The sequence below is a fragment of the Homo sapiens genome, chromosome 3 (assembly GCF_000001405.40).
Source record: "Homo sapiens chromosome 3, GRCh38.p14 Primary Assembly".
Taxonomy (NCBI): domain Eukaryota; kingdom Metazoa; phylum Chordata; class Mammalia; order Primates; family Hominidae; genus Homo; species Homo sapiens.
Window position 1 is genome coordinate 112,030,484 of NC_000003.12, and position 14,374 is coordinate 112,044,857.

A 14,374-nucleotide genomic window follows, 5' to 3' on the forward strand; every position below is an offset into this window, starting at 1 on the left:
TTAGGATTATAATAAACTATCAACCTTCTGTTTAGTGCATTTACTTTTATAAGGCCCCTCTGTTTAGCAGTAAATCTATATGAGTATATATATGCTGGTATTTTACCATGAGAATTATACTTCTCACATCAAACTAGTGATTTGCCTTTTTACCCATACTTACATACATTTTATTTCCATAAGACCAATACCTTTCTAGTGATGCATTTGAATCAACATATTACATAAAAATAATATTGATTTTTAAATGAATCTCTTTTGTACTACGTCCTGATGGGTTTAACAGTTGAAACATAAAATGGTAACTGCAGTGCACTGTTTAAACTAATTAATAGCTGTAGGGAAATGTTTGGTTTTTAAAATACAACCAAGATGAGACTGCAGAGTTATGAGCAGTTATGTTTTCACTAGAAAAGAGTGAATGAATAAATAAGATGATTTTTTTCATCAGTGGCCATTCATCATTTTGCTTTTAGGAACCTGGAAGAAATTGTCTTCTTTGAGTTTCAAATGTTCTGGTAAATCACATCATTTCTTAGCTTCCTCAATATCACCGTGAATTGCTGAAACAAGTGACTCTAAAGAATCCGAGAAGTTTTTTTCTGATTAGTAATTTCCTTTATGAGGTAGTCAACGATAGTCACATTGAGGATTTTCCCACAGAAGTCCTAGTTCACTGCAGCCTCAAACTCCTGTGCCCATGAGATCCTACTACCTCAGCCTCCCAAAGAGTAGCTAGGACTAATGGCGAACCACCACACCTGGCTTTTTTTTTTTTTTGTACGAACAGGATCTTGCTAGGTTGCCCATGCTGGTCTCAAACTCCTGGCTTCAAGTGATCCTCCTCCCTTGGCCTTTCAAAGTGCTGGGATGACAGGTATGAGCCACTGTGCCCAGCCAGAAGTCCTCTTTAAAGGCATGCATGGTAGGAGTTTTTGTGGATTTTTTGGGTATTTTTGCAGTATGGATTCCACCCTATGTTCACCACCATCTTATGGACATTTCCACTTCCAAACTGGCCCAACCATGATAAATGATGTGGATACACCAGTTGGAAGGTTATCTACCACTTATTCTGGATAGTTAGCTGTGGGGAGGCCCAGCTACTTGGAGCAGTGGCCCAGGCTCTGCACCACTTGGCTCCAGCAGAAGTATGGCCTGTGCCTCTGATACCATGCACTCAGGGCATGGGCGGTGGTGCAGCCTCCATGCATCTGGAAGAGCCACAGTCGAGGTAGTACCTGGACCCCGTGGACTAATCTGGGAATGTGGGTATGAGCTCTGCTGGCCGATGGAATCACCAGTTACCAGGCGGTGCCAACGACACCCTGTGGTAGGTCCTTCACACTGTTGACCCTACAGAAGCTGCCCAGCTACTCAGGGGCTGCTTCTCCTTGGAGTGGATCATTTCTCAACAATCTCTTCTCCTATACAGTAAAATTGTTTTCAGGAGGAATCATGAAATAAAACTAATAATAATATTGATGAGAAAAAAAGTGAAAAATTTTAGTCAACTTTGTATATATAATTATGCTAGCAAAAATAAAATTAACAAAATACATACTGCATACAGAATATTACATATAAAAATATTACACCTTGCAATTCATACCCTGTAACTGTATTAAATTTTAAATATAAATTAACTCATTGGTCACATAGAAGGACAAATGAAATAACTGAAATTCTGTTTCTTGGTCTTTACAATCATTGTGCTATTATTGCTTGTTTTGAACCTTCCCTTTAAATGCAGCAATATGTAATCCCACAGGGATTGCTGGAGGCAAGGACTCTGCCCTAAGTATGTGCAAATGATTCCAGACCATTAGAAGCTTACTCTTGAAATGAACATGTGTCACAGTCATCTTGTATTCTGTGGAGTCCTAATTAGGGAAAAGGAGTCGGGCTGGTGGAAGCAGGGGAAAGCAAAAAGAAGAAAGCAAATGAGCTGTAAGTCTGCCTTTCTTCATGGTCCAAGACATGTAGCCCTCCTGCACAAGTAACTCAAATAACTCACAATCTTCCTGCACCCGACTAATCACCAGACCCTTGACTGATAGAAAAATGCAAGTTAGCTCATTGTGACCTTGGCATTATCAGCACTCCACGTGGCCCTCTTGAGCACAAGCACCATCCTGTAAAATCCCGAGCCAGCCTTTGTCTCCTCGCAGCCAGCTCCTCTCTTGCTGATCTGCCTGTTGCTCTCTTGCAATGTATTTTCTTACTTTCTCTAATAAATCTACCTTTCTTTACCTACAACTGTCTTGGGAAATTCCTTTACCACCTGCACCACTGGCCCCAGATAGTTGTTACCCACAACATGTTTGAGACCAACTTTACAGTTGGGAGATTTCCAAATTAATTTCTGCATGACATTCATCACTTACTAAAAAATGAATAATAGGAATTGCTCATTATACACTTAAATAAGTATTATTCAAACAGTTGTAGTGGCAGTGATTGTTTAGAACTCATGGCAATTTTTTTTTTTTTTTTTTTTTTAGAGAGGAGTATTTTGTCACTGACATTATTTAGAATTGCTGGCATGATGATAGTGAAAAAGCAGCCTTTGGTTGGTTTTATGATTGCTTTTAAATTTGGTACATTTAACACAGCCTCCTGATATTTTGCTGCCACTTTTCACACTTGGTGGTGTGAAAGGGAAAAAAGGATGGGGGGACACTAGTTAAAGGCTGTAAAGACAGATTTTCTTCAGCACTGTTGCAACGGGAGAAAGTGAATTCGATATAGAGCTGAACTCAGTTCCAAATACAGCAAAGAAAGCTGGGGATTAGTAGTCAATGAAGAGAGTGAGGGGGTCCATGGTTGGAAAATTACTAAGGGGAAACACCAAGGGGCATCCTTGCTAAACTGACCAATCAGGATTCTTGTTACAGGCAGCCAAGGACTTACATATCAAGGGTAGGGGATAAAGAACTTGATCAGATATCAAGGGTATTTCAAGGCCACTCTTGAATCAAAAAAAAAAAAAAAAAAAAAAAGAAAGAAAGAAAGAAAGAAAAGAAAAAGAAAGCAAAATCAAGGGTGATCAGATATCAAGGCGGGGGGATTCCTGCTAAACTGACCAGATGGGCCAAAGACAAGGCCCAAGGACAAGGTCTAGTTGAAAAGAGAGCTCAGAGTAACCTGACAACACTTTGGTCAAGAAGAGAGTCTTTGTCAATGGCCACCGATAAGTATACAAATTTTACTTATATTGGTGAAATATGAGTTAGTTCTAGAAATAGGTAGAGAAATAATACTGGAAAGATGAGCCATTAAAAGTAATATTATAAAGTCTAAACCATTATTAATAATTTCATCAATGTGAATAATAAATAACAAAACCCAAGAGGCGAATTTGTACATGACTTAATTCTTTTTTTTTTTTTTTTTTTTTTTTTGTTATTCTGTCTCATCTTCCCCAAGTTAGATCAAATTTCAGGTATGAAGCAACTCAACTAATCTTTCCCCACTTTCAGCAGGCAGTTTCTCACTTGCCATATGCACAGCCCGTGAATGATGCTGAAGTTTGTGTCTGGATCAGCAGAACAGTGTTTCTCCTTTAAAGCGTGACAGATCAGCTTTCTGTTGACACCCAGTGCCCACAGGGTGATGAGGTTCCAGCAATCCCTGCCTTTTTCTCCCCGTCTGCTAAGAGAAATTCTGACACTGCCCCTCAGGATTGGATTATTCTTCCCACCATGGATCTAATTCAGATTGACATTGGGAAGTATGGGAGAGATGGAAACAGGGGCTTTACAGCAGAAAGGGCCCCAGGTTTACTGAGGACTGACTGCAAGAAGTAGGGGGAGCTAAATGGAAAAAAGTCCCTTTGGATTATGAGTTCTCAGAGAGTATGGCTGGAGAGTTGAGAGCAGGACTGAAGAGTGAGTCTCCTGGAGCAGGCAAGAGATGCCACGCAAGAGAAATGAGGTGTGAGGACTTCTCAGATGTGGTGCTGAGGGTTGTAAATTAGACCTCTTCATATTCTTTAGGAGATGCAAGAAAAAAATTATAATGATTTTTAAATGTTACTGGATTGTAGGATTGTGTTTCTTATAAGAAAACCTTGCCTTGAGGCTGGCTGTACTCTGAGAGGCCTGACTCCTATGAAAGTTACATTGAGAATCCTTGAGTTTGGGGTGCAAAGCTGAGTGCTAGGTCCCTTTAACATTTACAATATAGCAATGAGGCGGCTTCAGTTTCTGAACTGAACCCGGTGGAGGTAAATTGATTCCACTCCTCTGAAAGCTAGCTTGAATGCGGTGACGGTTCTCTCAATTCTTCTCAAGAGAGCATATAAGGGGCAAAAACTGGCTTTGAGACACCCCTGGATGATCACACACAAAACGCCTAATAATGGACAAAGAAAACAGCGATGTTTCAGCCGCACCTGCTGACCTGAAAGTAAGTACAGGGTGAGAAACTTTCTCTTACTTGAATGCCATTTATTGTTGACCCTGTTAGTAAAATGAGATTGTATGACCTTATAAACATAAAGGAAACAATAATAAAATATTTTATCTTCTTATGGTAATTAATGGGTTTTACAAATGTGAGCTTATTATAAAGTGCTGTACTTGGCAATTGATTTGTAGCCGTTTTTCTAAAACTCCAGGGAAATTGTACTGATCTCTACACAAATTCCATTTTAAAATTTAATCAGTGCTAACTGAGACTGCCTATAATGTGTTTCTGCACTTAAAAGATCCAAACTTGGCTTTGTCAGTTCAACATGTACTGGCATTTCTGCGTGTTTCTTTATTTCTTTTGGGGGAGCACTTGAAAGTAGCTTGATACCATCGACAACTCATTCTACAATGGAATGTTTCTCTCTTTAGAAACCCAGTCCTCATTCCTGCAGGACACCACATTAAATGATGTCTGGTCTAGTTCAATTTCACCAGAAAGGATACAAGCAACACTTCACTCCAGGGGTTGACAAGGTGTTTGGCAAAAAGAATGAAGGGGCCATGAATAATTCAGAGTGTACGTGGCCACGTATTATCCCATTAATTGGCAAGATTAAAGACTGGAGGGCATGAATTTTGAAGAGAAGAGTGAGGGAGAGGAAAAGAGAAGGAGAGAACTCTTAAGGACAGTGCAAAAGAGAGATTATTTCTTTGGCATTGGCATTCCATATTGTTGCCTTTAAAAGAATGTGTGGTTAAAAGCTATTTCGTCTCTGGAGTTTAGTTACCCTGACTTGTATAAATCTCTCCTTAAATGAAGCTAAACTCTTGAATACATTATTAAAGAATTCACAGCATCAAATAGCAGAGGGTAGACAAGAAAATAAAAGAGGAGGAAGGGAAACAATTAAATAATGTATTTTTTACTCTTGCACATAACACTATGCACATCAATACACTTAAACCAACAATTTTCTAATCTAATGAGTGTTCTATTTCATTCTTCCATTTACTTTTAAATAATTATTTCATTTATAATTGAGAAACTGTGGCTGGCAATGGCAGCGGCTGGCAATGGCAAAACAAACATATTTAATTCCTATAAACCCACAACCCTACAACCGTATGTAAACACACATGCTTTACGAACAATTTGTGCAGTTACAAATTGCACAAATTTGTACAATCTATGCAAATTATCATATCACCTTTACTTTTCCTTCCTACCACCCAGTCATGAAGCTGTAACTAGGAAATCAATTCATTTCTGTGGGGAACTCACTTATCTTCTTATTTTCAATCCTGCATCAGCCCAGAAATAATTGATTGTGAGAGAAAAACAATATAATACAAACATGTGAAACACACACATATACTAAAAGGACTGTGGACAGGCATAGTGGCTCACACCTGGAATCCCAGCACTTTGGGAGGCCAAGGTGGGTGGATCACCTGAGGTCAAGAGTTCAAGACCAACCTGACCAACATGGTGAAACCGCATCTCTACTACAAATACAGAATTAGCCAGGTGTGGTGGTGAGTGCCTGTAATCCCAGCTACTTGGGATGCTGAGGCAGGGGAATCGCTGGAACCCATGAGGCAGAGGTTGCAGTGAGCCAAGATCACTCCATTGCACTCCAGCCTGGTCAATAAGAGCAAAACTCTGTCAAAAAAAAAAAAAGGAGGGGGGAGGGGCTGTGTACACACATGATTCTACCCACATAGAATCTTAACCTTAACCTCCTAACCTTCAAGTCCTCTAATCTACTTTACCCCATGAAATTCAGGCCTCTCCTCCACAGCATCTATTCAACAGAGTTGGAGAGTTGAGGAAAGAACCTAGAAACTGTTGCGGGAAGTCAGCGACCCTGAATGGAGGGAATTGCTGAAGCCATGGCAGAAGAACATAAATTGTGAAGATTTCACGGACATTTATTGGTTCCCTAAATTAATACTTTCATAATTTCTTACGCCTGTCTTTACTGCAGTCTCTGAACATAAATTGTGAAGAGTTCATGGACATTTATCATTTCCCCAATCAATACTCTCATAATTTCCTATGACTGTCTTTACTTTAATCTCTTAATCCCGTCATCTTTGTAAACTGAGGATGTATGTAGCCTCAGGACCCTGTGATGATTGCGTTAACTGCACAAATTGTTCGTAAAGCATGTGTGTTTGAACAATATGAAATCTGGGCACCTTGAAAAAAGAACAGGATAACAGCAATGTTCAGGGAACAAGGGAGATAACCATTGGGTCTGACTGCCATGCAGGACAGAGCCATATTTCTCTTATTGCCAAAAATGGGTAAGAGAAATATCGCTAAATTCTTTCCCCAGTAAGGAATATTAATAATTAACAGCCCTGGGAAAAGAAAGCATTCCCAGGAAGAGACCTCTAAAATGGCCGTCTAGGAGTGTCTGCCTTATGCAGTTGCAGATAAGGGATGAAACACACCCTAGTCTCCTGCAGCACCCCCAGGCTTGCTAGGATTAGGAAATTCCAGGTTGGCGAATTCTAGTCAGACCAGTTCTCTGCTCTTGAACCCTGTTTCCTGCTAAGATGTTTATCAATGACAATGTGTGCCCAGCAGGATGTGGACCTTCATTAGCAATGCTAGTTTCACCCTGACCTTGTGATCTTGCTCTGACCTTCTGCCTTGTGATATTTTATTGCCTTTGAAGCACGTGATCTCTGTGGCCCACACCCTATTCATACACTACCTCCCCTTTGAAAATCGCTAATAAAAACTTGCTGGTTTTGTGGCTGAGGGGGCATCATGGAACCTGCCGACATGTGATGTCTTCCCCGGACACCCAGCTTTAAAATTTCTCTCTTTTGTACTCTTTCTCTTTATTTCTCAGACCGGCCGACACTTAGGGAAAATAGAAAAGAACCTACATTGAAATATCGGGGGCTGGTTCCCCCAATAGAAACCATTTCACTAGGGTTTGTATACAGTAATGTCTAGTTTATCTGATCTTAATTTTGTGACTTGGTGCAAATCAAGTTATTATACTTATGTAAATAATTTGATATACTTACATAAATATGAATGCTTAAATAGTCATATTTAGGCCTTTTAGTACCAACATCTCCTGACTGGGTAGTTTCATTTAAGATCCTGTCTACTTCTACTTGGTAACATATCTTATTTCTTTTTTTTGAAGATATCCAATATCTCAGTCCAAGTGGTCAGTGCCCAAAAGAAGCTGCCAGTGAGACGACCACCGTTGCCAGGGAGACGACTACCATTGCCAGGAAGACGACCACCACAAAGACCCATTGGCAAAGCCAAACCCAAGAAGCAATCCAAGAAAAAAGTTCCCTTTTGGAATGTACAAAATAAAATCATTCTCTTCACAGTATTTTTATTCATCCTAGCAGTCATAGCCTGGACACTTCTGTGGCTGTATATCAGTAAGTTAAAAATCTGTGTTTCTTTGGGGTTAGGGCTTATGGTATGAGTCCAGCATTAGCAATGCAGCCCTAATCTGCCATAGGTATTTCTGATGGGATTTTCCTTTTTCCAATATGGATACACCATTTCCAAAACTGGTGTTGATGGTTTTTTATTATTTTGTTTTGAGACAAGGTCTTGCTCTGTCACCCAGGCTGGAGTGTAGTGGCACAATCACAGCTCACTGCAACCTTGAACTCCTGGGCTCAAGCAATCCTGCTGCCTCAGCCTCCCGAGTAGCTGAGACCACAGGTCTATGCCAGCACACCTGGGCTAACTGGCTAACTTTTAAAGTTTGTTGTAGAGACAGAGTTCTCACTATGATGCCCAGGCTGGTCCCAAACTCCTGTACTCAAACAATCCTCCCACCTTGGCCTTCCAAAGTGCTAGGATTACAGGCGTGAACCATGGTGCCCGGCCTGGTGTTGATATTTTAAGGAGACATAAGCCAGAATTCTCTTTCTCATTTCTTTTTTTTTTTTACCAACACCATTTTCTCCCCATAGGAGAGCAAGAGGAGGAGATTGGGGATAGGATGGGAAGAGCTGAGAAGGATGCTCAGGAGATTTTGACTGGTTCAGAAATGTAATGCATTTGTAGCTTTAAAAAAATTAATGGAATGCTAAGCTGTTTCATTTCCTCATTCCACCCACCACCTGTTTCTAGGCAACCTTGAATTTCCGGCTCCCTGAGCTCCATTTTGCACATGCATCTTTCTCTCCTCTGTTATTACGTGTTTGTTGATCTGACTGATCCTTTTGGACAGGTGTCATAACTAAGCCCTTTCCTATAGAGTTCTCACTTATGCAACACTGCAAGTATAGCCTTTGTTGACTTGTATCGGAGTTGCCATCTATACATGTTAATGTATTTGATACAAAATCATGCACCATGATATAATGTGAAATACATAGTTATTCTGTGCCCTAGATTTCTGGCTCAGAGCTTCTAACATTCTGTAACTTCCTGAATGATAGGAGTGATAGGAGCATCTTTTGGTTTATATACATACATTTTGTTATAATATTTGATTGTAGTCCTTAGATCCTAACACAGAGCTTCTAAGAATGTCTTTTTGTATATTAACAAAGTGACTGGTGGCTGAAAGCCCCTAGGTAACCAGAGAAACCAACCACATGCTTAGAGGATTGTAACTTTCAAGAGGGGGCTGAAGATTGAGCTTAATCACGAATGCACAATGATTTAAAACTGACCTCTGTAAAAACCAAGGAGCTTCCAGGTTGGTGAACATATCCAGTTGCTGGGAGGGTGGCATGCTCCAACTCCACAGGGACAGAAGCTCCTACTCTAGAGACCCTTCTGGACCTCGCTGTAGGTACTTCTTCATCTGGCTGCTCATCTGTATCCTTTATAATAAAGAAGGAATAGTAAGTAAAGTGTTTCTCTGAGTTCTGTGAGTCATTTTAGCAAATTATGAAACCTGAGGGCTTTATGAGAACAGCCAATTTGTAGCCAATTTGGACAGCAGTGTGGGTAGCCTGGGGACCTACTACTTCTGATTGGGATCTGCATTGGGGGGCAGTCTAGTAAGAATGTGCCTTTAACCTTTGGGGTCTGACACGAACTCTTGGTAGCTGGTGTCAGAATTGAATTGAATCATTGGACATCCAGTTGGTGTCTGCAATGAATTGGAGAGTTGCTTGGTGTGCGGAACCCCTGCCCCCACCCCCACATTTGGTGACAGAAGTGTTATGGGTAGAGAAACAGTTTTCCTAGATGTACTCTCAGAGATATGAAAATCTGATTGGAAGGGAAGACTTTCAGGCAAAGAATGAAGGAATACTGTCTTGAACGGTTCAGGTCACTTATATGCACATAAATTGATCACTTGTGATTTGCTTGGCAGAATGTAGGGCATCAAACACACCACGATGCATCTCCTACCTTCAGAAAGCTCACAGATGCATTTTCTACTTTCAGAAAGTTCAGAGTTCAGTGCTAGAGAGAAGGTGTGAGTTTTTTTGCTTAAGTGATTATCTTGTGATGACAGAAGAAAGACATCCAAATTGCCCAGGGATGGCATCCAGAGAAGGGTTCATGAACTGGTTCCCGAACATTCATTTGATACATCTTGAGACTGTTCATTATGTGTTGGGTCCTGGGGTAGGCATGGGAGCAGAGTGGTGAGCAAGATAAGATCTCTGTCCTTGAGGAAACTGGTGGGGAAGTCAAGTCAATGGGCCATTAAGACAAACACACACAACCCCAACCCAGAACAAAGAAGCTTATTTGCCGTGGTTTCTCTGCTGTTCCCCAGCTGACACATTTGCACTGTCCTAGCATTTTTACATAAAGTTTTAGAACATCCTTGTGCAGATGTAGTTTGTTGGCTTATAAAAATCAGAGAAGGCCACTTCATGGAAACAGATCAGTACAAGCAAAGGGAGACTGGTATGGACCAGTAAGAATTTTTCAATAGAAATCAGGTTAGTTTTGATACAGGAAATCTGGGCATGGAGGGTGGCCTTGAAAAAGGAGGTAGACAGAGAAACAGGTAAACAGGGAGACTACGGAGGATCTTGTACATTAGGCTGAACTGAAGAGTTAGGTAAATGTAGTCTGATTGAATGCTAAATTAATTGATCTTTCTTACATGGTTATTGTTCTGACTGTAGAGTACTTACTGATATGAGAAGGATGCGTGAGCTTCTGGAAAGAAGTCATAGCTTTCATTTGAATTTTAGAGTCTGCAACCAAAAAAAAAAAAAAAATCTAGGACGCACTTCCCTGATAAAAATAAAAAAACCAAAAACCAAAAAACAACTGTTGTTTTATATGGTCGGCCTAGAGGCAAGGTGATCAGTCCAAGGTCACATTACCTGAAAAAACAAATCAAGGACAGGAGTTCAATCCTTCTGCCCCTTACCCCGTGCTTCCTCCTCCCCTCCCCAGCCTCCCTACACTTCCTAGGGCTAAAGTGACCTTGAATGGATCTTAGAGGGGAAGCTGTTTCCTATCACTCACAGCAGTTGCAAATTCTTTTTAATTCAGCCATCATTTATTTAGCATTTCCATGTGCTGGGCCTTGTGCTAAGAGGAAATATTCTCTCTCTCTCTTTCTCACTCTTTCTCCCTTTCTCTCCCCCTCTACCCACTTTGTCCCTCCCTTCCTTCCCTCAAATGTTTATTGAGCTTCAAAGCTAAGCCAGGCACTCCCTGCATTAGGGGCTGAGGAATCAAAATAAATTACCATTTATTCCTTCAGAGAGCCCATAAAGGAGACAGAGAGAAATTATGATAAAGCAGGGTATATATGGGCCACAGAAAAGTAACACACAAGGGCCATGAGATCCTTTTAATCTTGCTCTTAAGTATTTGCCAGAGTGGACAGAAGGAATATTCTGAGATACGGTTATTTGCTGCTGATGAAATAGATGTTGTTACCTACATTTAAAAGTTCACAGGCTCTGAACCAGTTAGTATGTAGCTGCCTAAAATAAAATTATTTTAGGAGCCTCATACTGACATAGCTCAGACAATTCCTTACTGCCACACAGATGGGAAAGCCTCCGAATCTTGTTCTTTCCTATTTTACAGGTAAAACAGAAAGCAAAGATGCTTTTTACTTTGCTGGGATGTTTCGCATCACCAACATTGAGTTTCTTCCCGAATACCGACAAAAGGAGTCCAGGGAATTTCTTTCAGTGTCACGGACTGTGCAGCAAGTGGTGAGGCGATGGAGGTAGAGGGTATTAGGGTAGAGTGGGTTTGCGGGGAGGTGGGGGATGAAGCTGGAGGGGAACACAAGTGTCACAGGTGAGCAGGGTTTAGGGAAGTAGAGGGCAGGGTAGACAAAGGAAGGTGTCAGAAGAAAACATGAAATCTAGCACATCTTGGCTATAAGATAGAATTTCTCCCCCTGCCCCCATGCTCCAATGTAAAAAAAAGAATGGCTCTCTCAGCTTCAGTTCTTCTGAACCGTAAAATAAAAGAATTGGAATCAGATGACCTTTAAAACACCTTCCAGTTCTGAAGTTAGATGCATACCGATTAATTCCATTATTGTACACATTTATTTCAACCTTGATGCCCTGGCAATCTCTTCATTGTAAAAAAATAACTTTCTCATTGTAGAACTAATACATATTTATTATAAAAATTAGCAAAATTCAGATGATTATGTTTTAAAAACTAACATCTTCTTTAATGTCATCACCGGAGACAAAGCCCCTTTTTATTCTGAAATACACAGACATAGAGAATAGTGCAATATTGGAATATTATATTCAGTTTTATAAACTAACATTTTCTCTTAGCATGCTATTGCATGCTTCTATGCACGTAAATCTTCCTTTAAAAAATATAAGTTACAATAGACTCAAAGTTAGCAAATCCCTATTTATTGGATGTTTAGGCTGTTCCCAACTTTTGCTATAGATAATGTGACAGCAAAACTGCCACATTCTTTGTGAGTATCTCTGACTACTCCCTTAGGTGGTTTCCTAAAAGCATAATTACTTGGACAAATAGAAAAGTATCTATTCATGGCTCTTGGCACATATTACCAACTAGAACGTTGCTGTCAATTTGTATTTCCACGGTACTGGAGAGGGTTGTCATAGTGATGAACTTGACACAATGACTGGCTGTGTAGAATGAGGAAAGGTGGTGAGAGAGAGGGCACATCAAAGACAATAGTGCTCAGAGCAGCTTTTACTTATTGAATGCCTGCTATATACTGGGTACGTCACTAAACCCTTTGCCTCTAATATTTATACAGTCCTGTGTCGCTTAACAATGGAGATACTGTTGTACAAACATCATAGAGTGTGTGTACACATACGTAGCTGGAATGGCCTACTACACACCCAGGCTAGATGGTATAGCCTACTGCTCCTAAGCCACAAACCTGGACGGCATGTTACTGTACTGAACAGTGTAGGCAATTGTAACACAAATCACTAGATGATAAGAGTTGCTCAGCTCCATCATAATCTTATGGGACTACTGTCATATATGTGGTCTGTCATTGACCAAAATGTCATGTGGCATATGACTGTATACCAATTATTTCTAAAATTATCCCAAGGAGGTGGGTGTTTTGATTACCACTTTATAGGTGAAAAAGAAAAAGAAAAAAAAAATCCTGCCTAAACAGGTTTAGGCAACATGTTCTGTGTTGCACAGTGAATTTAAATTTCACAGCTTATATTGTTTCCACTACACTTCATAATTTCTAAGGGTTAAATTTTTTTGTTTTTAAATCTTGGGCAATTATGTAAGTGGTTTTCAAATTACATAGGAAGGGGAATACTAGAGAAAATGACTGGGGAGAAGAGAGTGAGTTTGCTTTTAGAAATGCTAGGTAAGGGCCAAGAAGGTAAATCGATTGAAACAGAGCTCTCCCTTGAGATCCAATTATGAAGTTTTAAAATGGCTGGGGCGCTTCCCTAGAGTTTGTTATGAAGGGGGCTGGTAGACCTGGCTGTGGGTACCACTCGCCCCCTAGTGGCTAATGTGAGAATGTGTCCTTAAGAATATGGTCGACGCTGGTGCACTGATAGAAAAGACGTTGGGTCAGACTACTGTACTATGAAAATGTACTTAAATGAGTTTGATTTGTTAACTGTGGGGAAAATTAACCTTTGCAGTGGGGAGAATACAGAAGTTAAGTTTGAGTTTAAAGAGAGCAATAAATGACTTTTCACTGATTTTTCACAGATAGCAGAATGAAAGTAAGTCACTCAAGATTGTTGCAGGAAGAATTTATTTGAATTCAAGAAATAATGCCGGGGTGTGGAGTTAGGAGCCTTTATTTTGAGGCTTGCATTTCTTCTTGCTGGCTGTCAGAGCTTGGGCCTACAACATTTAAGATACTGTAAAAGGAAGTCAAGTATGAAATACTTCAGATACCTCAACTATTCTTTTTCAGATAAACCTGGTTTATACAACATCTGCCTTCTCCAAATTTTATGAGCAGTCTGTTGTTGCAGATGTCAGGTAATGCATGTCCCTTGTTTTGAGATTTCTGTGTTCATTGTTCTAAAGTCCATTCAAGGCTATGAAAAGGCTGAGATTCCACCATTCCCAAGTAACTTCTTGGAAGTGGTTGGGGATTCATACTGTATTAGCACAACTAGCGACTCAACTCACTGCCCTTCTTTCTTGCTGTGTTTTTGCTCTTTATCCACCAAATCCCGACCTTCTCCCCATAGCTAGAATCCTGAACCCCTATAGCAGTGCTGCTGTGCAAAATGGCCATAAACTTGTCTATCATATTGGGTGGAGGGTGGAGGCAAAAATAAAGCACAGACCATGATTTCTTAATGTTCAGTGAAAAACTGGTCACTAGAGATCTTCTGAGAAAAAAGGGGATTCATGGTCAAATAATTTTTAGAAAAAATCGTGCACCATATATTATATCCCACCCCCACCCACTCCCAATATATCTGCAGAGATTCACAATCCACAATCCACTTTGACATATTAAAGCACTGAGAAGCCTTGGAGTATAGCAACTTGATTAGTTTCCTTA

General features: G+C 40.3%; 1 protein-coding gene and 1 pseudogene across 5 annotated transcripts in view; one reads left to right on the plus strand and one right to left on the minus strand.

The window, feature by feature from the left end:
* Positions 1–349: 349 nt before the first annotated feature.
* On the minus strand, positions 350–1,214 carry LOC124906250 (riboflavin kinase-like; annotated as a pseudogene).
* Positions 1,215–4,252: 3,038 nt separating this feature from the next.
* Positions 4,253–14,374, plus strand: part of TMPRSS7 (transmembrane serine protease 7) — a 46,534-nt gene continuing 36,412 nt past the window's right edge. For 2 of the 5 annotated variants that reach the window (NR_026734.1, NM_001042575.2), the window contains exons 1-3: positions 9,135–9,266; positions 11,437–11,567; positions 13,772–13,839. Coding sequence is in view for 4 of the 5 variants with exons in the window: in NM_001042575.2 (NP_001036040.2) it covers positions 11,475–11,567; positions 13,772–13,839 (161 nt within the window). In the remaining variant the exon portion in view is untranslated. The other 3 variants (NM_001395507.1, XM_011512754.2, NM_001366279.2) reach the window with 3 other exon arrangements.